Here is a 26,687-nt window from a genome sequence, read left to right on the forward strand (position 1 = left end):
GTGGTATTTAGTTATGGCACTTTAAGCAGACGAATCCACATGTCTATCCAACTTTTCATACCTTTCGTGACATAGACTAAGCCTTTGTTTTTCTCTTTATGCCATCCTTCTCAGAAGTGCTACTTCTTGCTGCTTGGCAGTGTCTTTAGCATTTTACCTCCCACAGAAAGATGTCATCCAAATTTAAAAAATTAGAAATGACTCTAAGTTCAAGAAACATTGTTAGAAAATAAAAAATACAATAACTATTCATTAAATAATAGATTTATGCAGTCCATATCAAATCTGTCTTTTTTTTTTTAAGAAAGAGAAAAAGCCATCCTAAAATGTATATGAAATCTCAAGGAACCCTGAACAGCCAAAACAATATTTAAAAATATTTAAAAAGGAGAACAAAGTTAGAGGTCTCACATTTCCTTATTTCAAAACTTATAAAGTTGAAGTAATCAAAACAGTGTGTTACTAGAATAAAGAAGAAATATAGGCAGTGAAGTGTAATAGAGAGTTCAGAAATACACCCTTACATATATGGTCGAAATATTTTCAACAAGGATGCCAAGGTTATTCAATGGGGAAAGGGCAGTCTTTTTAACAAATGATGCTGGGAAAACTGAATATCCACATGCAAAAGAATAAAGTTGGATCCATATCTTATACCACATATGAAAATTAACTCAAAATAGATCAAAGATCTAAATATAAGAATTAAAACTATAAAAGTCTTAGAAGAAAACATAGGTGAAAAGCTTTATAACCTTATATTTGGCAATATATTTTTGGATATGATACCAAAAACACTGGCAACAAAAGTTAAAATAGATAAATTGAACCGTATAACTTTTTTAAAAAATTGTGCATCAAAGGACACAATCAACAGAGTAAAAAGGCAGAATGAGAAAAAAAAATTTCATATCATATATATGATAAGGGGTGAATATCTAGAGAGAACTTCTACAATTCAACAACAACAACAAACAACCCAGTTTTAAAAAATGGGCAAAACACTTAAATAGACTTTTCTGCAAGGTTACACAAATGGCCAACAGATAGGTAAAGAGATACTCAGCATCATCAATTGTTAGAGGAATGAAAATCCAAACCACAGGCAGAAACAGCATCACACCTTTAGGATGGCTACCATAAAAAAGAAAGTAAAAAATGTTGACGATGTGGGGAAATTAGAACCTTTGTGTACTATTGGTGGTAATGAAAAGTGATTCAGCTGTTTTAAAAAAACAGTGTGTTAGTCTAAAAAATAAAAATATAATTACCAAATAATCCAGCAATTTCACTTCTGGGTATATACCTATTATGGGCTGATGTGTCTCCACAAAATTCGTATGTTGAAGTGTTAGCCCTAATACCTCAGAATATGATTGTATTTGGAGATAGGGAATTTAAAGAGGTAATTAAGTTACAATGAGGTCATTATGTTGAGCCCTAATCCAATATGACTGGTGTCCTTTTAACAAGATGAAATTAGGACAAAGATCTACATAGAGGGAAGACTATGTGAAGACACAGGGAGAAGATAGCTATCTATAAGCCAAGTAAAGAGGCCTCAGAAGACACCAATTCTGCCATTACCTTAATCTTGGACTTCTAGCCTCCAGAATTGTGAGAAAATAAATTTATGTTGGTTAACTCACCCAGTTTGGGGTCTTTGTCATAAAAGCCCTAGAAGACTAATACAATACCCCAAAGGATTGAAAACAGGCTTTGTAATAAATATGTGTACACCAATGTTCACAACAGCATTATTCATAATAACCTCACAATAAGTATCAACAAAGTGTCCATCAACAAACGATTGGATAAACAAAATATGGTATATACATGCAATGGAATATTATTCAGCCTTAAAAAGGAAGGAGATTCTACCACATGCTACAAAAATGGATTAACCTGGAGGACATTATGCTAAGCTAAGTAAACCCATCACAAAAAGACAAATACTATATTATTCCACATATATAAGGTACCTAGAGTAGTCATATTCATAGAGGCAGAAAGTAGAATTGTGGTTGCCAGGGACTGAGGGGAGGGAGAAATGGGGAGTTGTTATTTGATGGGTATATACAACAATGTGAATATACTTATCACTACTGAAAAGGTACACTTAAAATTGGTTAAGATGGCAAAATGTGTGTTGTGTGTATTTTTCCACAATTGAAAAAATATGTTTAAAATACAGTTAGAAGGAATACGTTCATTTAAGATTGGTGAAAAAGTCATTGCAATTTTCACCATAAAAGTAATGGCAAAATCCACAATTATTTTTGTACCAACCTAATAGTATTTGATAGTAAAATGGAGAAATTATAGTTAACAATGATTTATTATATATGTCAAAATATATCTGGAAAAGAAGAATTGTAATGTTCCCAACACAAAGAAAAATGTTTGAGATGATAACTATCCCAGTTGTCCTGACTTGATCATTACACATTGTAAACATGTATAAACATAACACGTGTACTTTCAAAATATACACAACCATGATATAACAATAAAAAACAGCAAAAATCAAAATCCAAATAAATGAAAAACAAGTTTATGCAATGTGATGGTCCTGTAGCTGTTAGTGGCTGCATGCTTTTAACATCAATATGAGTATTGATTTGGCTGTACCATTAATTATCAAAATTGGAGTTACCAGTTAGCTAAAGGATATCCAGCTAAATTTGAATTTCAGATAAACAATGAATAATTGTTAGTATCAGTGTGTGTCAAATGTTATGTGGCACATAACTATACTAAGATAAAATTTGTTATTTATCCAAAATTTATGTTTGAGTATTCTGTGTTTTTATTTGCTAAATGTGGCAAACTTAACACAAAGAAATGTGTATTTTATATTTATATATTATATTTTTCATGATACTTTACCAGAGGAAAGCTCATCTTATTCGATGTAAAAGAGATATAGTATCTTATATTTGAGTATTTGGAATTATAAAGGGAAGGATATCTGGAATGTCAAATTTCCCAGTGCCAGCCACATTTGAATGCCATAGGTGACCCTAGTAAAAAAGTACCTTCCACAAATATCTCTTTCCAGTTTTAACTCTAGTATCTTACTTACTCTCCTTTGGCACTTCAAATATTTCTATATTTAAACCTCTCCTACCTCTTTTTCAAATGTGATTTTTTGTTGGGGATAATATCTTAAAAGCATTTCTTCGGATGTAAGATAATTGTTTACACACACATACAGACATTCACAAACACACACACACGCCTTTATTTCTGGGATAAAATAAATCTATTAAATATTGAGTCAAATTTTTAAAAAGTGTGTTTAATTGACAACTAATCATTGTCACCTTAAATTAGTCAATCAAACAAAATAGTCAAGTACCAAAAAGGTGACAGTGGAAAGCACATGTAACTTATAATCAGAAAGTCTTTGCTATTTTATTGGTCTGGTGATCATGGACAAGTCATATAGCCTCTTTAGTAACATTGGCATCATAATAATAATACCTACTACTCAGGATTATTGTGAAAATTGAAAATGGATATAAAAATTATATATCAACTTGTTTCATATACAAAAATATGTAGAAAGCTATTAGTTTATGAGGGCTTTCAGAGGTGTAAATGAGAATGGGATTAATTAGAGTCTGAAGTGCTGCCCTTGTGGGGAGGGAAGAAATTGAGTTAGAGTACTCAGGAAGTGAAAAAGAGAAACAGACAAAAAAAGAGAAAAGAGGCAGACACAGTGGCTCATGCCGGTAATCCCAGCACTTTGGGAGGCTGAGGCAGCAGGATTGCTTGAGCCCTGGAGTTGGAGGTTATAGTCAGCTATAATCACACCACCACACTCCAGACCAGGTGACAGAGTGACACTGTTTCAAAAAAAAAAAAAAAAAAAAAAGAAAAGTTGAAAACTATTAAAGTAACAAGACAAATCACAAACTTTCTATGTATTTCTGGGTCTTTCTCACTTCGGATATGAGAAATTAACAGAGAAATAGAATCAGCTGTTTGGAGTAGAGAAATTAGAAAAGAGAAGGCAGCAGTTAGAGTATAGGAGAGATTCCCGATTATTTCCATTATCTCATTATACAGATTAATGTTAATACACAGAATATACTCTGGAACAGAGAAGAAGAAAATACCATATATTGAACAACTGGGAGTGAATTATTTCATTAAAATTTTCACATCAACACACTTAATACTTAAGAAGATATGGCAATTGTTATCTCTTTACTTATGAATCCCATCTTCATGCTAACAATTTGCATTAGTACATTACGAGATGGGCAATTTTAAATGAAAAGATAATTTTTTTTAAGTTTTAAAATTTTCCAACAATGTGTTTTTGGATGCTATATTATATTGAACACTTCATCAAAATAATGAAGTTAATCCAATAACTTTAGTAGATGTATTCAATGAGAAAAGGGTGACATTTTAATAAGCAGTGTATCTACGTGGAAGCAATTAAAAATGGATACCCATCTTACACTATTTATAAAAGTTAATACCAGTTGAGTTAAATAATTGATTATTTTCTTGCAACAATGCCAAAAAATCTAGGTAGCTGGTGTGTAATACTAGAAACCTACAGTATTTAAAAACTCAGAGGTAGCTAAATAAAATTTAAACCATTTTTAGAGCAAAAAAATGAGCAAAATTAATAAACACATGGTGTATCTGGAAAAAATGACAATGAAAATAGCAGGCAATGAGTTTGTTTTAGTAATACACAAAAAGTTCTTATAAACTGACAAGGAAAATGACAAAATATGCAGTATAAAAATGGAAAAAAGCTATACATACTCAATGTACAAAAAGCCAATTTAAATACCTAACACTTAGAAAAGGAAAATTCACTAGTTACTAGGAAAATGGAAATGTATATAACAATGATTTAATCTGAAAAACTATATAATGTTCTAAAACCTAATGCTAGTGTGGTTATGAAATAAAAGGATACTCTCTTAGATGGCTGGTTGAACTGTAAAGCAATTTAACCTTGTTTAGCCTCTGTTCCAGAGGGCTCAGTGAATTAATCTTTAAAATGAGAATCTGGCGGTATCTTTCCTAGAAAGCAAATTTTTTTTAAAAAAGCAATTCCTTTTCGTAGAAAGCTATTCTATAGAAGCAAATGTGCCAATTTGTAAGAGTCTGTATATAAAGGTATCTATCGCATAATTGTTTAGATTAATAAAAAATAAAACGATTCTATATATGTATGATTGCATATGTGCATACATAGTGTGTGTACATATATGCACGTACATATATATGTATATGTAAAGAGAGAAAACTTATAAAATGTTATTTAAAATATGGAGAAAAATACATATGGACAAAGCTAAGTTGTTAATATTGGGATATTTGAGGGCATGGGGATCGGGACAGGCTACCGTAATCAGGAAGAAGAAAGGCAATAAATCAGTATTTAGAAAATTCCTATGCATGATGTACAAACTAACTAAACATTGAATTAGTGAAACCACATTATAATTTTTTTTTAAATGTACCTACATGTAGAGGCAATAACCTTTTTTAAAAAAAGCTCATTGAAAATAAATGTAACAATACTGAATAAAATAAATAAAATAAAGTTTTGGAGATTAAGTTGGTCATACCTCTAATATAGTCTTTACATTATTTAAAATACGACAAAAGCCAGGAGACTGTTTCAGGCCAAGTATTAGCTAATTGATAGGAAATGATCTAGAAATCTGTTTATTTAAGCTAGGCTCTTACAAGTCTTAAAGGCAAATTAGAAATATTGAGTAAAATTGCTTTCAAAGTTAAACTGCCTTTATTATTTTTTTTTCTTGGTAGTTTTCTTGACTTCACTTAATCTGCTGGAAGCTGATCCTTTTCATGTCCATGTTTAAGGAAGCGTTGAAGGTCACGTCACTCAAAGCCAACATCAGCAGGCATCCTACCAAGATAATCTCTGAAGAGGTCAGAGGTGAGAATGACACAGAGAAGAGGCAGATTTTACCAGTCCAGTTCAAGGAATTTCTCACTCTTTCTTATAAGGGAACTCTTTTCAATAGAAAAGGAAAGGTTGCCAGTAAAAAGACAATGGAATTCCTTCCATTTTATGTAGATTTATTTTTTTTCATGAGAAAAAGGAATAAAGCATTTATTTTCTCAGTGTTTTAAGGGAAGATATAATGTTTTGTTGAAGGTAGGCTATTTATTTTGGGTTTACTAGTGCTGTGGACTAAATTGTATCCCCTCTCCAAACTTCACATGCTCAAACCCTAACCCCTAATGTGACCATACTTGGAAATAGGTCCTTAAGGATGTAATAAAGGCTAAATGCATTTATAAGGGTTGGACTCTAATCCAATAGGGCTGGTACCCTTAAAGAAGAGGAAGATATCCAAGAGCTTTCTTTAGGCAGTGTGAGGACACAGTAAGAAAGTGATCCATCTGCAATCAAGGAAGAGAGTCCTCCCCAGAAACCAAACCCTACTAGAATTTTTATCTTGAACTTACTGGCCTTCAGAACTGTGAGAAGATAAATCTCTTGATGTTTAAGTCACCTAGTCTATGTTATTTTAGTATGGCAGCCTAGAACCTACTAAGACAACTTGTAAAACAATGTGTCAATGTGCTTTCTATTTCATTTGTATTGGCCTCTATTCTTTTGATATCTAACAGGGGTTATGAATGCTCATTTGAGTTAGCAGTTCCATCATTACCATTATTTCTAATTTAATAAGTGTGTTTAATTTCAAATACATTCTGTTCGAAATCTCCTACGATTTTATATTGCAATTTATTTTTTATTTGTATTGAGTATTAGGAAAATAAGAATTTGGCATTTTCTACTGTTTCTACTTAAAAATCACATTCATACCATTTATGTAATGTGGAATTTGAAATGAAATAATGATGTTTAAAGCTTTGTTGATGCAAAATTCATCCTTCATGTATGATTGAAGGTGGATAATTAAAGGTTAATTTCTGGGATTCAGTATTTTAATCTTAGATGAATAAGGAGCTTTTTGAACATCAATTCCAAAAATTTTAATTTTACAAACAGAAACTTTGGCTCAAGGAAATTTAAATGACTTAACCTCAGTTATACTTTTGCTAGTGTTGATAAAGGGAAAATTTGTTGGCAGAGAGGTTGTGAAAGAATAATTGAGAATTGAAACAGAAACCACACTTACTGAATCACAGAGATAAATGGTATCAGAAAAAAAAATCATTATGTTTATCACAGACATTTCTAAACTCATGATTTTAGCACCAGTGGTTTGTTTAGATCCATGTGGTTTTGATAAGACCACACACAAACTGATTAACAGTGGTTCCACATGGTCTCATAAATTTTAAAGGTAAGGACCTCTGACAGTTCCAGCAATACACTGGTTTACACAATCTGACCCATTTCTCCAGAATCATCCAATGACTCCAGCACCCAAAACTCTGTAAGCAACTTTTCTTCAGTTTTATCCTACCCCTTTTGATGCATCCCATGATCTCTCATGCTGTGTTTTTTTGTGATTTGTTTTTTGTTTTTGCTGTAAGAAGCAATAACTTACCTTTGTTGATCACAGATGTGTTCCTGGTAGTCTTTGAATGATGGGAACAGAGACTGTCCAAATCGAGAATTAGAAAATGTATAATTTTTGGATTCTTTTCGAGAAAGACACCCTCCATTAACTCTTAGATCTTATCCTACCAAAGAAACTACGGTTTTTTTCAAATCTGATTTCTGTCTTTCCATTTCGGCCTTTATTTGTTTATTTTCATTTTGAAGACTATTAATTATGTCACTTAACGGGGGAACATCTTCAAGGATATTAGTTTCTGAATTCTGCACATATGGCAAAAATTGTAGTACAGTTGTCCCTTAGTATCCATGGAAGATTAGTCCCAGGACCTCCTGTGGATCTCAAAATCTGCAGATCCTCAAATCCCTGATATAAAATGGCACAGTATTTACATGTAATCTATGGACACCCTCCATATACTTTAGATCATCTCTAGATTATTTATAATACTTAGTACAATGTAAATGCTATGTAAATTGGTGTTGTACTGCACTGTTTAAGGCAGAATGACAAAAATAAAGACTATATATGTCAATGTAGAAGCTTTTTTTTTCAACATTTTTGGTCCAGAATTGGTTGAATCCACAGACGCAGAACCCAGATAGAGAGGTCAGACTGTAATCACAAAGCTCTAGAAAAATTATCCTGAATTCTTAATTTAAAATAGTATATATTGTTTTGGGTAGATATACATATTTAAAATAATAAATTATGTGCCAAATATAGTTATGATATATTTATGAACCAAAATATATATAAAATGATGCACCAAATATTACACATTGTACATACACATGTTATAATTTGATAGGTCAATTTAAATAATTATTTTTATTTTTCTGTTTTTCATGAGCTTCCATAGATAAGTGAAATTCACAAGCAATATAAATGTATGGTAATACAATCAGGTATTCCTTAACGATGGGGATACATTCTAAGAAATGTGTCATTAGGTGATTTTATTGTTTTGTGAACATCATGGAATGTACTTATACAAACCTGGATGGTATAGCCTACTGCACACCTAAGCTATGTGGCATAGCCTATTGCTCCCAGGCTACAAACCTGTACAGCATGTTACTGTTCTGAATAGTGTAGACAATAATGCATTAGGACAACTGTGACAGCTATAATGGCTGTGACATCACCAGGCAATAGGTATTTTTCAGCCCCGTTATATTCTTATAGGGTCACTGTTGTAAATGTGGTGCATGACTATATATATTTGTTTTATTTGAATGCATACTATTTCCTAGGCTATTTATTGCACCAATATACCCTAAAATGCTGCATTAGGAAAAATTTGAATTATTTATTAAATGGTCATGCTAAGAGGGAGTGTGGAAGATCTACAAAAGCTACAATGCTACTGTAGCTACTATCAACAACTAACCAGGTTATCCTCAAAAGACTCCAAACATGCATTTTCAAATTATCTTAGGAACACAAAATTTAGGAAGATTTAAAATAAAATATAGAATAATACTTACAATAAAATATAGAATAATTCCGTATGTGGGAGCATTAGATTTTTGTCAGAATTTAAATGTCAAAAGACCATATTAAAATATACTAGATTGTTCAGTGAAGATATGCAACAGTATAGTAGAAAAACTTTTGTTGTTTGAGTCTGAAAATAGTATTTAAATTTGACTATTTCAGATACTTGCAGTATCATCATGGACAAATTACATAAAATCTATAAGGTAACATTTGGTCCTCATGTTAATAGATGTCCTCTCTTCAGGATTATTGTAAGGGTCAGTGGGTATTCCAATTTTGTGAGCTATGATGTACTAGGAATCTATGCTTATATTCAATTAAAATTAGAAATTGTAAAATCATAGTGTAAAGTAAGCAATATATTTCAAAACTTAAATATTTCATGATAGAAGTATCTTTTTCATGAAAATAAATATTTTATATCATGTGTTAACTGTCATGTTCAATTAAATATTGGCTGCAAAGATGTAGTCAAAAACACAGCTCTACCACATTGCAGCTACATGACCTTAGTAAAATCACTTATCCTTTCTGAACTTCAGTGTTCTCATTTGCAAGTTTGGGATAAAAAAGAGAAAAGTGGAAAAATTACAATAAAATGAGGCTACTAGATATAAAGACTATATGAAAAAACTGTGCCTGATCCCTTCCACCCTTTCTTCAATTCCTTGGTATGTCAACATTTCCCCATTCTCTTTCTCAGCCTCCTGTTTCCTCCCCATGAGTAGTCCTCCACCTTTCATGTCATGGCTAGAAAACAAAACAAAACGAAAAGACTATTTCCCAGGTCTCTAGGCAAATTCCCCTCACTTTTCCAAAATAGTTCAGCCTAGACATACTTACGTTTTCATATAAGAGGTTCTGTTCCACCTGATAAAGAATTATCTTCAGCCTTTTCTTCCTATGCAAACAAATTAAAGGTATAAAAACAGAGAACATAAAGAGATGGCTTACTTTAAAAAAAAATTCTCTCCTAGATTTTTAATACATGCCTTCTCACTAAATATTCTTGTTTATTATTTGGAAGATTATAAGGCACTACAACTATATATTTTCACAATAAACTTTTTATCCGTTTTCATTCAAATGAGACTTCCTTGCAACTCAATGTAGTATTGACTTTTAGAAGCCAACCAAGAGCAATAAATCAAGGTTAGTGCACGTTATATTGTCCCTTAACCTGAGAGTCAAATGAATCTTCTGCATCATTGCTGATATAATAAATATATTTGAATGTGTTTTACTCAGAAATCAGATGCATTATTATCGCACGTAACAAAATGTCTTTTGCTACACCTCAACATTCAGTATGAGCTTACAAATTATAGAAACATTTTTAAGAAGATTTTAACCTAGTATGAATTACTTTCCATTTTCTTTTATAAATGTTGATAGGAAAGACTAACAAAAAATGTCTTAATAGCCTGTCAGTTGTAATAGGAACATATACTGAATTAAATACGGATTAAGAAGCATAAGCACTGAGTTGACATTAGTAACTAAAGACAGAGAATACTCAATTATGCAATGAATTCAGATTATGTAGGCAATATAGGAAATTATGAGAGAGAAATCCCAAAATATTTTTCCCCTTTTGGCAGCAGAATTTTTAAGTTGTAAATTAATGAGATTGGATTTTATGCTTTCCCCTTCATGTTGTCTTACTTTAAATATCCATAAATCATATCTAATTCTTTTCTAGCCAAAATGAATGAAATGACAAAAGCTTTTAATAATTCATAAAGCGGCAAAAGAAACAACCTAAAATTATATTCAGCAAACAAAGCAGAAATTCTATGATTTCTTCTTTTAATTTATACCAGCATTTTTATGGTAATTATAAAAACATATGTCTAGTTCACGTGATTTATTTAGCTTTAAGTATTTTACAGCGACTCTGACTTTGTGCAGACAGGTAGAACTAAAGTTCATATTTACATTGGGAAAAATCATATTATACCAAATGTTTCGATTGGGGTGAGTGCTTGAGTTTAAATAATAGTGGCTTATTTACATTCCATCACAAATGAATATTTCTTTGGGATTTATTTATTGCTTGGTCTTAAATGAAGCTTCATAGATGTTGGTATAAGCATTACATTTTAATCTTAACAGGCTATGACGCCTGCATTGAACTTTTTCTACTTTGAAGACTACTGTGAACTGAATTGTATCACACCCACCCTTTCCCAGAGTCCCCGAGAATTCACATGTTGAAGCCGTTACCCACCATGTGACTGTTTTGGGAGACAGAGCCTTAAAAGAGGTAATTAAGGTTAAATGAGGCTGTAAGGATTGGGCCCTAATCCCTTAAAACTGGTGTTCTCAAAAGAAGAGGAAGAGACATGAAGAAGCTTTTTCTGAACACTTGTGCATCGAGAAAGTCTTGGGTGGGCAGAGCAAGAAGGTACTGTCTGCAAGTCGAGGAGAAAGGCCTCATAATTACCAAGACTACTAGCACCTTGAGCTTGGACTTTCAGACTTCTAGCCTCCAGAATTGTGAGCAAATACATTTCTGTTGTTTAAGCCACCCTATCTGTGTGATTTTATTATGGCAGCCTGAACTGACGTATGCATGCACTTAGTCTCACTTTTGAGTCTCATCTCCCTCTCTTGTAATTACATTCATTTTAGTATCTTTCACTTACGACCTTGCTGCTTCTTATTTGTCTCTCATATTTACCTGCTAGAATTCTACCTAGGCTTTAAAGCCTATGTTAGATCCACCTTTAAATAGATTTACTTCCTCTTTCCCATGTATTCTCCTCCCCCAATAGTATGTAATCTTTCCTACTTGGAACCCCTTAACACTTTTGATATTTGTTACAATATATCAACTCACATTTTAGCTATTTGTCATTTATCTTATCATCTCTATTAGATTTGTTAAAAATACATTATATTAGTGAATTCTTTCTGCAGGCCTACCATATGCCAACTTATGATTACCTGCTGGGTGTCTTTGTTGCTATGGTTAGGTGGAAGTTAGAAAAAAATGTTATTATTACCATTAGGTAGAAATTAGAGAAAGGCAAATCTCAAGTCAATGTGAGGAAGTTCTTTCTTGCAGCCAAAAGTGCCAAAAAGTAATCAATAGTATTTCTCCATCACTGGAGGTTTTCAGACAAGATGTCAGAGATGGCAGTCAGTCTCTTATGAAGAACAATGAGATCTGATTACCTCCATGTTTCTTTTCAGTTATTGTATACACTGCTTTTAAAGAAAATATTCAGTAATATTTTGTTCTACTTACTTGAGTTGGTTGAGTAGCAGGGTAGCTAACTAGTATAATCCACATGCAATTATCAGCAAATTGCAAGATGTGTAACTAAACAAAGGTAAACAACACACACTAATTTATATCTGACTACACCGTATGACTTTCTTTATGCTGGATCCTTTATGTGGAACTCACGTGAGCTCACTAATGAATTTGCGGGGATAAGAATCAATTCTCTCATTTAGAAAGAAGAAGCTATGTAAAATTTTGCCCCAGATTCTTTACTTAAAATAGTTCCCAGTAGAGAACATTTTCTTTCTAATTTTTCTTCTCACTCCAGCTGCCTAAAAATCCTTTTTTTCCCTTGCTATCATTCTATGAATTATTCTGTGTCTGGCCTTAATATAAAATTTCATGAAACAATGGGATATATAGATATCTTTAGGGATATCTCTGTCTCTATAGATGTACCTACATTTTAATGGAGATTTAGGAATGCAAAGGAAAATATTAGTAGGCTGAAAAGAACTGGCCTGAAGATAACTTTTATGATATTTATATTAAAAAATTAAGCTGATAACTAATGTAAGTTTCAAGTGACCTACTTGACACATCATTTTAAGTTAATTACTAGTTATTCTAATCTTTCATAGCATGTGTGAAAAATGATACAATGGATCATAGAGCCATTACTTGGATGAGTTTTGCATCTTTAACAGAAAACATATTTTAATACAATGTTTACTAAATTAAATTCAGTTTCTTCCCAATTAATCTAGTTTGAGAATTTTATGATTATTGTAACATTCTAATCATTATGTAAAGATTTCACATTTATTCTCTCTCTTCTGAAGGAAGATTATACATCTATATACCCTTTACTATGCAATTTGTCTGCTTTCCATAAAATAAGTATATCCCTACACCCAACTGACTTTGGGCTTGGCTATGTGACTTTGCCTGGTCAATAAAATATGAGCAAAAGGGATAGTGCACCAGTTCTGCGGAAAAGCTTTACTAACCACTGCACATATCTGCCAGTTTCTATTTTGACTATTACTGTGAAGAATGGCATATACTGAGAGAGGCTGCCCCTTTAGCCTTTGCTCCACAATGAGAAAACATGTGGAGTGGGCCTACACTCTCAATCAGAAAACCCAAGTCTGACACACAGCCTTAAGTGGAATTGTAGCTGACTTGAAGACCATCTACTAAGAGAGACAGAAGTTTACTGTTCTAAGCCTCTGAGATTTGGAATTATTTGACTAACACAGAGAATTTAGATATTCTATTTCCTATAATTAAATGTCTAATAAACATAGTCTACTATTTAAGACCTGGCTGTTGACTGGGATTCAAGAGACTTCTAAATCTAGCTTAAATTAATGAATTTATCTGTTTAGAATATTTAAAAATTCAACAAATTATGTTTTTAGGCTACTATCCTTTAAAATGTGACCCTAGAGGCTTCCATTTCTAGGTAAATAGAGTAGATGTACTTAACTCTTTCTATTACGTACAACTACAAACCAGGACATTTTATGTAAAACAAGCATCAGAAGACTATGAAAGATATAGAGAAGAAGGCAGACTGTCCAGAGACCTGGGAAACAGAAGTAACAGTGATAACTACTCTGGGTTTTTATTTTGTCTCCTATATCTGAGACTTGAAGCTAAAGAAACTGGCAACACAGAAATACCAATGAACATAGACAAAAGCCTGCTCTCTCTAGCCAAAGTAAAATGAAAGGGGTAACCAGGCAGAACAAAAAACTTTTAGACAATCACTACTCTAGTCTAGCCAAATATCATAGAAGAAAAATGTCACCCCACCCCTACCACACTAGCCAAGGCCGAGTGAAGAATTTAGACTTCACTCTTGTAAGGTTGTAATGAGGGAATTCAATGTCTCCACTGGGTTTATGTAGGAGAAGGCCAAGTAGGAGTGGGAATTTCATCCCTGCTAGATAGAAACAAGGAGGCTTTCCCCTTTCCCCACTAGAATGGTGTCAAAGGCAACCTAGTGGAGAGTCATAACATTTACTACTGCCCAGTTGTAATGAGGCCACTCTTGCCACCATGTCAGTGGAGACCACATGAGGACCAGGAGCTTCCAATATTCCTGGCAATAAAGGTGAACTTTCCTTACCTTTGGGTGTCAATAGAAGCTAGATTTCTACCACTTTTTGTCAATAACGGGTCAATGTTTCTGTTCCCCCTTTTCCCTGCTAGAATAGAGTGGACAGAATATTCACAACAGAATAGAGTGGACAATGGAAAGGATGAGTAAACTGAAAAATAGTATAATAGAAATTATTCAATCTGAACATCAGAGAAAAGATACAATGGTAGGGGGAGGAATGCAACCTTAGGAACCTATGGGACTTTAACTTTCATATCACTGGAGTCTCAGAAAAAGAAGAGAAAGAGAGCAAGGCTGAAAATGTATAGGCTAATTGAAAATAAAATGATAAGAAAATGATATGCCATGCAAACATTTATCAAAGAAAAGTAGTAGTGGCTATAATACCATCAGATAAAGTAGACTACAGGGCAAAGAAAATTACCAGAGAGGGAGAGAGAGAAGAAAGAGACAGAGAGAGAGAGAGAGAGAGAGAGATTATTTAATGCTAAGTCAATCCACATCACCTAGAAGGAATAGCAGTTCTGATTGCAGCACTGAGCAACAGAGCTGCAAATTGAGACAACTGAAATAAAAAAATAAACAAATCCACATTGTAGTTTCAGACTTCAACACCACTTTCTCATCTATAACTAACAAGAAAATCAGCGATGGTTTAGAAGAACTCAATGACACCATTAATTAACAACATCTAATTGATATTTATACAACATTCCACCCAACGGCACCAAAAAACACATTGTTTTTAAGTACTCAAAAAACATATACCAAGATAAATAATATCTTGGATCATAAAATCAACAGATTTTTAAAATTTGAAATTATGCAGTGTTATCTAACCACAATGAAATTAAAATAATAATCAGTAACAGAAAAATAAAAAAAAATTTTCAAACTCTTAAAAATTAAAGCACATATTTCTAAATAATCCATATATCAAAAAAGAAAATCTTAAGTAAATAAAAGTACATTAAATTGAATAAAAAATATATCAAATTTTGTGGGTCATAGCTAAAGCAACAATGAGAGGGAAATTTGTAACACTAAATACCTACATTAGAAAAGAACAAAAGTCTCATTACAATAATCTAAGTAGCCACTTCAAGAATCTAGAAAAGGAAGAACAAAATAGATATGATGAAAACAAAGAAGGAAATAACAAAGATAAGGGAAGAAATCAATTAAATTGAAAATAGAAAAACAATAATCAATGAATCTAAGAGCTGGTTCTTTGTGAAGTCCAGTAAAATTGAGAAATCTTTAGCAACACTGACAAAGAAGAAAAGAGAGATGACACAAATTATAATATCAGAAACAAAGTGAGATATTACTATGGGTCCTGCAGAATAATCAGAACATACTACAAAGAACTCTATCGACATAAATATGACAACTTATGCAAAATGGACCGGTTCCTCAAATAACAAACTACTACAACTCACCCAATATGTGTATCAGATAAATTGAATAGCCTAATAGCTATTAAGAAAATTGAATGTATCACTTAGCAACTCCCAGAAAAGAAATCTCAAGACCCAGATGGTTTAACTTGGAAAAGTTTACCGCACGTTTAAGAAACAGTTAATGCCAATTCAATTCTACACAATCTCTTCTAGAAAACAGAAGAGGAGGAAACATTCTCCTATTGATTCTATGAAGATAGTCATAACCTGATAGTAAACTAGACAAGGAGAGCACTACCACCACCAAGAACAACAATATCAACAAAAAACAAAACTAAAGATCAATAGCTTTCATGAATATAGACACAAAAGCCTTTAGAAAATATTAACAAATAGACTTAAGCAACACAAAAAAAATTATGTCATGACCAAATGTGGTTTATTTCTAGGATGCAAACTTAATTTAATATTTGAAAATCAATGCTAATCACCATATTCATAGGCTAAAGAAGAAAAATCACATGATCATCCATTCGATCTAGGAAAAAAAATGACAAAATTCAATACCCATTCATGATAAAAGCTCTCAGAAAAGTAGAAATAAAGGAAAACATTTCTCAGTTGATCTAAAAAATAATTCAACTATCATTATACTTAATAATGACAGACAAAACATCTTTCTGCTAAGATTGGGTAGAAAGAAGGATTTGTGCTGTCATCACTCTTATCTGACATAGAGCTAGAAGTTCTAACAAATGCAATAAGGCAAGAAATGAAAATAAAAGGAATGAAAACCAAAAAGAAAGAAATTCAATTGACTCTGTGCAGATGACACGATTGTCTACATGGAAATCTTAAGGAATCTAACATTGGCCCCACATTGAACCCTTTATTGTTATTTTATTGGTCTTGTTTCCACAGAGTTCATGAGAACACGGTGTGAGAGTAAATACAAGATGTGACACTTCAGAGTTTTCAATTATCTGCATCTGTTTTGTTTATCTGCATCTGTTTAGCATATTTAACTCTATTTGAGACAGGATATATAGCATTATAATGTTTTGAAGTTATAATCAGAGATTACTTAGACCCCTCCACTGTTGCTGTTTATGATAGGGCCACAGTCAAGCCTCAAGGTGAGTTCTCTGGCCTAAGGGTAGCCAACTAGGAGTGACTGGTAGAGGGAGGGGAGGAGGCAGGGGAGATGGCATCTGAGGGAATTTCACAGATACATGTCAGGGGCCAAATTCTTAGAAATGGAAAAGTCATTTAATGAGAAGCATAAGAAAAAGTTGTATGTCTTCTGGAATCTGAGCAACTTTTAGAATCCAACCCTGTTTATGATCAGCTATAAAATTTATCTGTTATGGATTATCTTTCCATAACTTTCTAGATGCTGGTGAGAATAATGAAAGGTTATAAAAATAGAGCTTTAAGAAATGTTGAAATGGAGGGTTAAATTTTGCTGCTTCCTACCCTTTCATTTCAAAGAAATCTGTTATGCCATACCTTCAAACACCGACAACATGACGCAGCTTCTTTCCTTTTGACTAAAGCCATGGTGTTCTCTTGAAGTTGTATACCTGAAAAATGAGACTGGTATTCTTTCTTTCACATAAGCATGCTGGGCCACAGACATACTGTGTAAATAAAACAAGTTTTTGCTGTTAACATGTAAAGAGGGTTTTAAACAAAACTGTTCTGCTATTTCTGAAATGTCTATTTCCTTTTATTGTACATTTGCATCCTGACAGCAACTTAGATCTTTAGTATGATTTGGATATATTTACAAATAATATTATAAATCTTCAATGAAATTTATATGCCAGTTAACTTAGTGAAAGCCCAAGCTAGAGAACAAAATTATAGTTATATCAATTATCCAAGGCAAGTAAAAACATATGTTTGTGTTAGATAATGTTCAAAGTAATAGCTAAATGATTACTTGTTAACTGAAGTCCCCTTGGAGTCTTAAAAAATCCCCTTATTAAAGAGCTATTTTGAATGATACAAACACATTTATACATGGAGAGAGAGAGAGACAGAGAGAGAGAGCATTTTAAATGTAAAATGTTAACATTTAAGAAATCTTAGTGAAATCTTCGGGAAGGGTTTGGAAATTCCCTTGCACTACATTTGCAACTTTAAGTTTTAAGATTGAAATGATTTCCAAATTTTTAAGAAGAGCTATTTTGAAAATGAAACTTCATGAAAGGCCTTCCAAATTAAGATTTTTTTCAGGGGCAAAGGTGACAGTTGGTATCATCAGTGGTGTGCAGATACATAAGCAGAATAACGCTTATCTTATTAATGCTTATTAAAATTCAGAAATAGCTTTATGATTAGAATTTTCAGCATTTTAATGGTAGAAGCAGTTCTTTCATATCAGAAAGCAATAGAATTACTTAGCCAAGTGGAAACAATTTCATACTTAACATGTAACATAAGATCCATGTAACAAAGTATTGCATTGGCCTTCCATCTTTTCTCCTCCTTCCAAGAATAGAGGATACGTGAGTCACTCTGACAGCATCAGGTTGCTTTCTTTTCTGTGGTGACTTTCTCATGTGCACATAAGGAATACTATTTTTGAAGGGAGAAAATGGATATCCTGGTAAATAACAACAAGGTTATGAAATGTGTAATATATAACTGACATTGATTTAAAGTAACCAGGTTTCTGTGACATAAATTCTGATAATGAGAAGGCTCATTTCCTAAAACAAATAAGGCAAATTTGAAAGTTAAAGAAATGACTAATTCTGCTGGATTTTTGTCCATCCTAAAATTCAAATATAAGCCAAATAAGGAAAACTAAGATTTAAGAATTGGGTCTGCTTTGTAGCTTCTAGTTTTTAAGGAAAGTTTATGAACTAGCAAATGAACAGATTTAGATGCTGCTTTCCCAACTGAACATAAAGGCACTAACTTTGTCTTTGGACCATGAAGAGTGATAATTAAAAAAAAAAAAGAATGTTATTTATTTTATTTTTTTATTTTAGTTTTTACCACAATTTCTTACTGTATTCTGGATATGAAAACCATTGAACTTTGAGAAGTCTAAAAGTTATTAGAAACAAATGAATTGTTAGAATTAAATAAATGCTTTCCACAGAGCAGTTACTCCATTATGTAAAGTTTAGACATTGAATGGAACAGATAAAAATGCAAACTAAAATCTGTAAGTAAGAATCATTTTCATAGTGTTTCAGTGTCTTATTTATGGATTGAGTTTTGGGGACTTTGGTTAGATTTTTAACAATTTTCCTCTTTTTCTAGAATTTCTCTCACTGGCTACTAAATCTGCCTTTATCTTTATCAGAAGCCATTTCCCTTTTAAACGTGTTAAGTCATTTTTATTTTAGACTTTAACTCTAATATGTAGTTTTGTACCAAGCTTTAAAAATTTCCTAACCTAAAACAAACTGGACCACCACTCCAGCCTTGATTTATTTTCAGAGCTTTAAACAAAAGTTTGCATCTGTTACCCTTAAAGTCTATAATTAGTAGTTGAACCACACAAAGAATCAACATGATGTCATGTCTAGACAACATGTAAATTAATATGAAAGCAATTGATTTACAAACACTGTACTAATACAAATTAATCTGAATTAAGTTTAATCCCCAGTTACTAACTGATTAAGTGTGGCTGTTGGTAGCTGCAGAGTGGTGATTTCCATCTGTGATTTTTAAAGACACAACTTAATCATTGAATCTGTGTGGAGACATAGTTAAAACACATACCATATACAGTGATTCTCCATGTCTGCTCTCTGCACAGAAGAGCTAGAGAAGCAAAACTGAAATATACAATTTAAAAACATATAGGAAGCTCTTCTTAAGTGTCATAATTAACTTTTGGCAAAAGGGATGTTTCAGGCACGTTGACTTTGGCTGTGACTGGCACAGCATCCTTCTTAGAAAGTGCATTCATCTGTTCAGAAGAAGAACTTGCTCTTGCTTTGAGGAAACATGAAATCAAAATTGCCAATATATTCTCTCTTTTCAGGCACAATTATTACAATTTATTGTGGACAGGAAAACACATGGATGTTGAATACCAGTTCCTGTGAAAGATACTTGGGTTTCGGGATAACAACAGTCCCAAGTCTTCAGAACAAATCAACAGGTGCATACTCTCAAACCACAGTAGGTTATTATCCTACCACCTCATATGGGCTGAGAGTGCTAGAATAATGTTGTATTTGTCCCATTTACTAAAAATATATTTTTTTGTAAATATTATGGGTGTCCCCAATATTATGTTTGATTTGTTTTTGCCTTTTTGAGGAATGTTTGTTCAAGTAAAATTAGCTTGTATCCACTTTAAAGTGTTAAAAAACTCACCATTAATATCATCAAGATATTTAAAAAATGTTGGTTTCACTTCTATTAGCCAGTCCCCATAATTGCATTAATAATATTTTTCAGATAACTGGAAACCAAGAACAATCATACCAAATTATGAAAAATGTTTTACTCTTTTGATTTGGTAGGCATGTTCTGTTTGTCAAAAAACTCTATAGTTTATGTTGGAACAAAAATAAGGAGTGTTTTAGGAACATAATATACATAGGTTTGATAATTAAAAAGTAACTGTGATATCAAAATGAGGGTCATTGTATTTACATGGACTCTTTTATAGACATCCTACTCATTGTCATAATAACTGAGGCTGTCATGACCATGGACTCTGCTTCGCATGAAGCCCTAAACAATTCTGACAGGCTGCAGCTCATTAAGGGACAGTCATTTTGTTGAAATGTCTATCAGCTCGCAGGGATGCACCAAGATGAATAGACCCAAAACAATAGGCCCATTTGTTAGAGCAGTAGCTTCTCTAATACATGATGAGACAATCAAGCCAAGCTGCCTTCAGCACAAAGACATAATTAATCAAATGGACAAATGGTTCAAAAATTGCTCTAGTATATTCTGTAGTGGACAGAGGTTTCCATGGAAACATTGGCGTTTGCATCACAGTTAATGACCATTCTGTACAATGAAGTCTCCCCCTTCATACACACTTCTTTACTCTCTCCACTACGCCTGTTCTCTCCGCTCCTCCAACTATTAAAAAACACAACCTGGAGAAAAACAAACAAAACAGGGAGAACGAGGAAACATAAAGAAGGACCTTGAGAATCTGTATTTCCTATCAGAAAATCTAATAGCTCTATTTCAGCATTTATGAAACTGATTATGAATATTTTCTTGTTTTCAATACTTAAATACAAATGGGGAAAAACAGCCTGAAATTGTTACTTTTAATGCTATTAGATAATTACAGCAATTTCATCCAAGTATTTACAGATATAGCTTAACTCATTTTAATGATTTAAAATGTATTTGGAAAAAAATTAAATTGCAACACTTAATGCCTAAAATGTTAAATGAAATTTTAGTAAAGTCCTGAGAGAAAAGGAGACTTTAAATTTGACTTAAGTTCCTAGAAAACAGTTTATAAATATTTCTTAAGTTTGATTTTTACCTTGCATTCTGAAGTGTCATTGATCAATATTTAGTCAGGCTAAAGAAAATCTCTACTTTGACCCCTAATAAAACATATTTCCCATAGGTAACTGCATCTATACTTTGAAGGATAGTTTTTTGTTACTATACAATGGTATATGAGGTCTTAATCATTGCCTTCCACCTTCCTACCAAAGTGTAGCTTATTAAAATATTCTTTCCAATCACAGAAAGAACCCATTTTTAGAGATGTCCTGATAAATACAATATTCTCTATCTTGATAGTTTATGAACCACAAAAGTGACCAAGTTTGATGCCTATTTAGGGGTCTTGTGTAATACTTGAAATAAACAGTTTGATTCTTTAAAAACTACATGGCAGGGTAGTTTAATAAAATATTTATATGTGTTTTTTTCCCTCTAACTGTATTTTCCTTTTCTACTTTCTCTACACTTCATGTGTAACTGTATAGGTAGCTGGATTGCTTTGTAGTGTCTCTTAAAGACTTCTTCCCTTCCTGGTATTCCTGTCTTTATTTTTTAAAACCTGTGTCAATAAGAGTCTTTTGCGGGTCGGGGGAATGGGCAATGGAGGGAGAGAATTATAAGTTGGAGACCAAAGTAGCAAGGGAGCTAATGGTATTTTCTAAGACTGGAAAGGAACAAAGGGCTGTGAGCCCTGCACAAATAAAGAGTCCAGACCACTGTCCTGGGCAATACACGGAAAATATTTCCAAACACAGAGAAGATCAGCTACATAGTGCACTTAGGGAGTTTGGAACTCAGGCTTTCGGTCTGCACAGAGTTCTTTCCTCGGAGTTCATCTTGGGAGCCTGTTTTCAAAGAGCTGTACTAGCATGAACCACGAGGATGTCTGTAGTTACCAAGATGAATGGAAGGCCACAGAACACTACATCATTTTCCTTCACCAAATTTGTAGCCCATATTTGTATACCATCCTAGAGCTAACTGAGACTGAATTTCATTACTTAAAATTTAAAGCAATGGCCTGGTTCACTCAGTTCCACAAGGGCGAGACAGACTCTAAATGGATCCATCTTTTAATGATGTTAGTTATTTATTTGAGGAAGACACAGACTCTTCAGGACTCAATTCCTTTAGTCATGGAAATAATGATAACCATCATGATGCTATTAGAAAATTAGTAAAATAACACATGTCATGAAAGCACTTTGGAAGCTTTAAGAGCCCCAAAGTGAGACCATGAGTAAATAGAGACTCTATTATATTACTGGAGGGAACAAAAAATGATCCCTTCACTGTGAAAGAGAAGGTGGAAAAAGCAACCATAAATATAGCTATATTTTCTCTTTGACCTACCAGTGTTAATTCTGGAAATCTATCCTACAGAAACACTTGCCCATGAATGCAATAACTTATATATAGTATACAAAATTATTCACAGAATACTCTTTTTATTAAGGATTAGAAGCACTTAAGAGTGCAAATATAGAGGACTGTTTGAATAAACTATGGTATATCTACACAGTAGAATTCTATGCAATTGTGAGAATAAATGATGCGACCTCAATAGAAAATTTGCTGGGGTATATTTTGAGTGAACCGATCAGTGTGCAGGAGAGGCTAGGATAATGAGTATGCTTCTGACATGTAAGGAAGGAGATAAAGTACATATTCACATTTTTGTATTTGCATAAAGAAACACTGAAAGGATAAACATAAAGCTAATAAACATGCAGAATGATGGGAGAATAGATGTGATGGAAATGAAGCTAAGATAAAATTTCAGGGTGTACTTTTCAAAAATAATTTTTTATTATTGTTATTTTTGCAACAGTAGTATACAGAATCCTATGTATCTTTCATCAAGTTTCCACTAGTCTTAACATCTTACGTAACTAAAAAATTAATATGGGCAAATACTATTAATTAAACTGCAGATTTTATTGATACTGCACCAGTTTTTCCAATAATGTTTGTTTTCTGTTTTAGAATTCAATCAAGTATTTCCTTGCACTTACTTGTTATGACTTCTTAGTCTCTCCAGTCTGTGACAGTTACTCATTTTCTCCCTGATACAAGGACTACAACACTTTGGAAGGTGCTTGTCAGGTATGTACTGCAGTTTGGATTTGTCCTATATTTTCTCACAATCAAGCTTAAGGGTATGCATTTTGGGGAAAAATATCCCAAGATGGTGTGCCCTTCTTAGGGCATCTTAGGGCATCATATTAGGGGCACATGACGATGGGTCTTATTTCTAGGGATATTAATCTTAAACACTAAGTTAAGGTACTAACTGCAGGTTGTCCATTGTGAAGTTACTATTTTTCCTTTGTAAATACTAAGTATTTTAATGAATATAATTTGAGAAAAAAACTGTGTAAAACTCTGTTTCCTCTTATACTTTGTCAACCAATTTTGGCATTCACCAGTGGATTTTGACTACAGCAATTATTACCACTGTATTCTAATGGTGATTTTCCTATTCCCTCACTCATTCTAAATTTATTAATTTAAATTATTTTGTTAGGAAAAATCTTTCTCAATGTTTAATTTGTTTATAAAATCACTTGTTTATATCAGTATGGATGAATGGTTATTTTATAAGATTTTATTTTAGATCTTCTCTGGTAATATCATTTCTTCTTCATCTTTACCTCCTCTTCTTTTTTCCTTCTTTCCTTCCCCTTCTCCTTCCCTCTTGCTCTTCCTCTTCCTCCTTGTCTCCTTCTTTTTCCTCTTCTCCTGCTTCTGCTTCTTCTTCCTGTCTTTTTTCCTCCTGCTCCTCCTCCTCTTCTTCCTCCTCTTCCTCTTTCTTCCTCTTCCTTCTGATTAAGTTACTAAAAGTGGTTTTTCTAATATCCATTTAAAAATTAACCAAGCAGGCCAGGCCTGATGTCTCCTGCCTGTAATCCCAACACTTTGGGAGGCCAAGGCAGGAGGATTGCTTGAGCCCAGGAGTTCAAAGCTAGCTTGAGCAACATAGAGAGACTCTGTCTCTATTTAAAAAAGAAAATTACCGAAGCACATTTTCAAATAATAATATAGTGCTTTATGTGTAGCACAAGTGTCTTTTAACCTACTACCCAATTCTTTCTCTTGTGGCATTGCTGCTATGTATTTTACATCTAAAGTGTTACTATTACTGCTCCAATCAGTAGGTTTTTTTAGATCAATTAAGAATAAGGAAAATAAAAGAATTTACATTACCTTCATGAACTACTTCTCTGATGCTTTCTTTTTTCTTTATGTAGATTCAGACGAGATTGGGCACGTTCAGGGTGGTATGGCCATAGATTCTTTATGTAGATTCAAGCATCTGATCTACACATGATTTTCCTTCCGCCTAAAGACCTTCTTTTAACATGTCTTGCAGAGCAAGTCCACTGGGTGGGAATTTTTAGTTTTTGTTTGTCTAAGAAAGTTTTTATTTCTTCTTTTTGAAGAAATAATAATTTAAATGGATATAGAACTCATGGTTGTAGTCTTTTTCTTTGAGCATTTTAATGATTTCATTTCATTCTCTTCTTGTTTGCATTATTTTTCATGAGAAGTCTCTGGTAATTTGTATTCTTTTACCTCAGTATGGAAAGTGTTCTCCAATCCTAGATTCATTAAATTTTTTTTTCTTTATTTTTGTTTTTTGCAGTTTGAATGTGGTGTGTCTCCGTGTGGAGTCTTTGGTGTTTATTCTGCTGATATTGTCTAAGCTTCCTGGTTCTGTGGCTTGATATCTGTTCTTAATTTGAGAACTTCTCAGTCATTATTTCTGCAAATGTTTCTTCTGCTCCATTTTCTTCTTCTTCTCTTTTTGATATTCCAATTATATACATGTTGCAACTTTTGATATAACTCCACAGTTCTTGTCTGTTCTGTTACAGTCTATTCTATTCTATTCTATTCTATTCTATTCTATTCTATTCTATTCTATTCTATTCTATTCTATTCTATTCTATTCTATTATCTCCTCCTCCTTTTTTTCTTCTTTGTATTTCATTTCAAATATTTCTATTTACCTATGCTGAAATTTACAGATTCTCCCCTCAGCCTCAGTCTATGGATTAACTCATCAAAGGTGGTCTTTATTTCTGACACTATGTTTTTTCACTTCTAGCATTTCCTTTTGATTCCTATAGTTTCCATCTCTCTACCAACATTTCATCTGGTCTTGCATGTTGTCTACTTTTTCCAGGAGAGCCTTTACCATTGTAATCACAGTTATTTTAAATTTCCTATTAGATAATTCCAATATCTTTTTAATATCTGAGTTGGATTCTGATGCTCGCTTTGTTTCTTCAGACGCTTATTCTTGTCTTTTGACATACCTTGTAAATTTTGTTGAAATCAGATATGTTGTATAGGGAAATAGTTACTGAAGTAAATAGGCCTTTAGTATGAGGATTTATGTTAATCTAGCTAGGAGTTGGAGTGCATTTAATGTTTATTTTAGCTACAGACACCAGAGGCTTCCAATTATTGTAGTAAGCTTAGTTTTTTTTCTCCATACTTGGCTTTGTTTCCCTTTGTACTGCTCTTTAGAGAGAGCCTGTGTCTTGTAGCTCTTTAAGTTGTAATCCACTGCTATTATTCCTGAAAGCTTGTTAGAGCTATGATGGGTTGTGGAGGAGAGGGAGTCTGCTGGAATCTTCTGAATAAATCTCAGTGTTTTAATGGTCATATGTCTTGGGAATCTGGTTAATGTAGTGTTTCTGCTTCTCCTCCAGGGATAGAGCTTTTGCCCTTCTTGTTTTCTAGTCCTTCTCCAGCACTAGTGTTTCCAGTACGGTAGTCCCCCTCCTCACCACCTTATCCAAAAGGGGTATATTCCAAGACCCCCATTAGATTCCTGAAACCATAGGTAATACCAAATCCTATATATACTATGTGCTTTGCTATATATACATATCTATGATAAAATTTAATTCATATATTAATTATAGTAAGATATTAATAACAATAATAAACTAGAACAATTATAACAATACGTCAGCATCATTATTGCGTGAGGGGGCCATCATGAAGTAAAATAAGGGTTACTTGGATATAAACACTGCAATACCATGACAGTCCATCTGATAACTGAGATGGCTACTACTAAGTGACTAACGGGCCGATAACCTACACAGCGTGGGTATGCTGGTTAAAGGGATGATCATGTATTGAGCAGGAACTAGTGGAACAGTAAAGATTTCATTACGCTACTCAGAATGACTTGCAATTTAACTTACGAATTGTTTATTTCTGGAATTTTTTGTTTAATATTTTTGAACTGCAGTTTAGTGCAGTTGTCCGCAGGTAACTGAAAATCAGAAAGCAAAATTGCGGATAAAGGAAAATGACCACATAGTTCCTTGAAGCCCTCTTTCTTGTTGATTGATTATGACTTTTTTCGGCTTAGGTGAGACAGAAAGACA

The 26,687-nt window shown here is 33.0% G+C and overlaps 2 long non-coding RNA genes across 4 annotated transcripts in view; one reads left to right on the forward strand and one right to left on the reverse strand.

Annotated features, from left to right (window-relative positions):
• Positions 1-5,852: 5,852 nt before the first annotated feature.
• Positions 5,853-26,687, forward strand: part of LOC105376084 (uncharacterized) — a 52,939-nt gene continuing 32,104 nt past the window's right edge. For 2 of the 3 annotated variants that reach the window (XR_007061581.1, XR_929941.2), the window contains exons 1-3: positions 5,853-5,941; positions 19,826-19,965; positions 23,263-23,382. This is a non-coding gene — a long non-coding RNA (uncharacterized LOC105376084). The remainder of the gene's footprint in view (positions 5,942-19,825; positions 19,966-23,262; positions 23,383-26,687) is intronic. The other variant, XR_929939.1, reaches the window with a different exon arrangement.
• Positions 5,859-25,139, reverse strand: LOC105376083 (uncharacterized). The gene is made up of 7 exons (XR_001746729.1): positions 24,484-25,139; positions 20,844-20,903; positions 18,250-18,396; positions 17,323-17,453; positions 9,891-9,948; positions 7,533-7,585; positions 5,859-5,911 (listed from the first exon to the last, which is right to left on the reverse strand). It is a non-coding gene; the product is annotated as an uncharacterized LOC105376083 (long non-coding RNA).

Source organism: Homo sapiens, chromosome 9 (assembly GCF_000001405.40).
Source record: "Homo sapiens chromosome 9, GRCh38.p14 Primary Assembly".
Taxonomy (NCBI): Eukaryota; Metazoa; Chordata; class Mammalia; order Primates; family Hominidae; genus Homo; species Homo sapiens.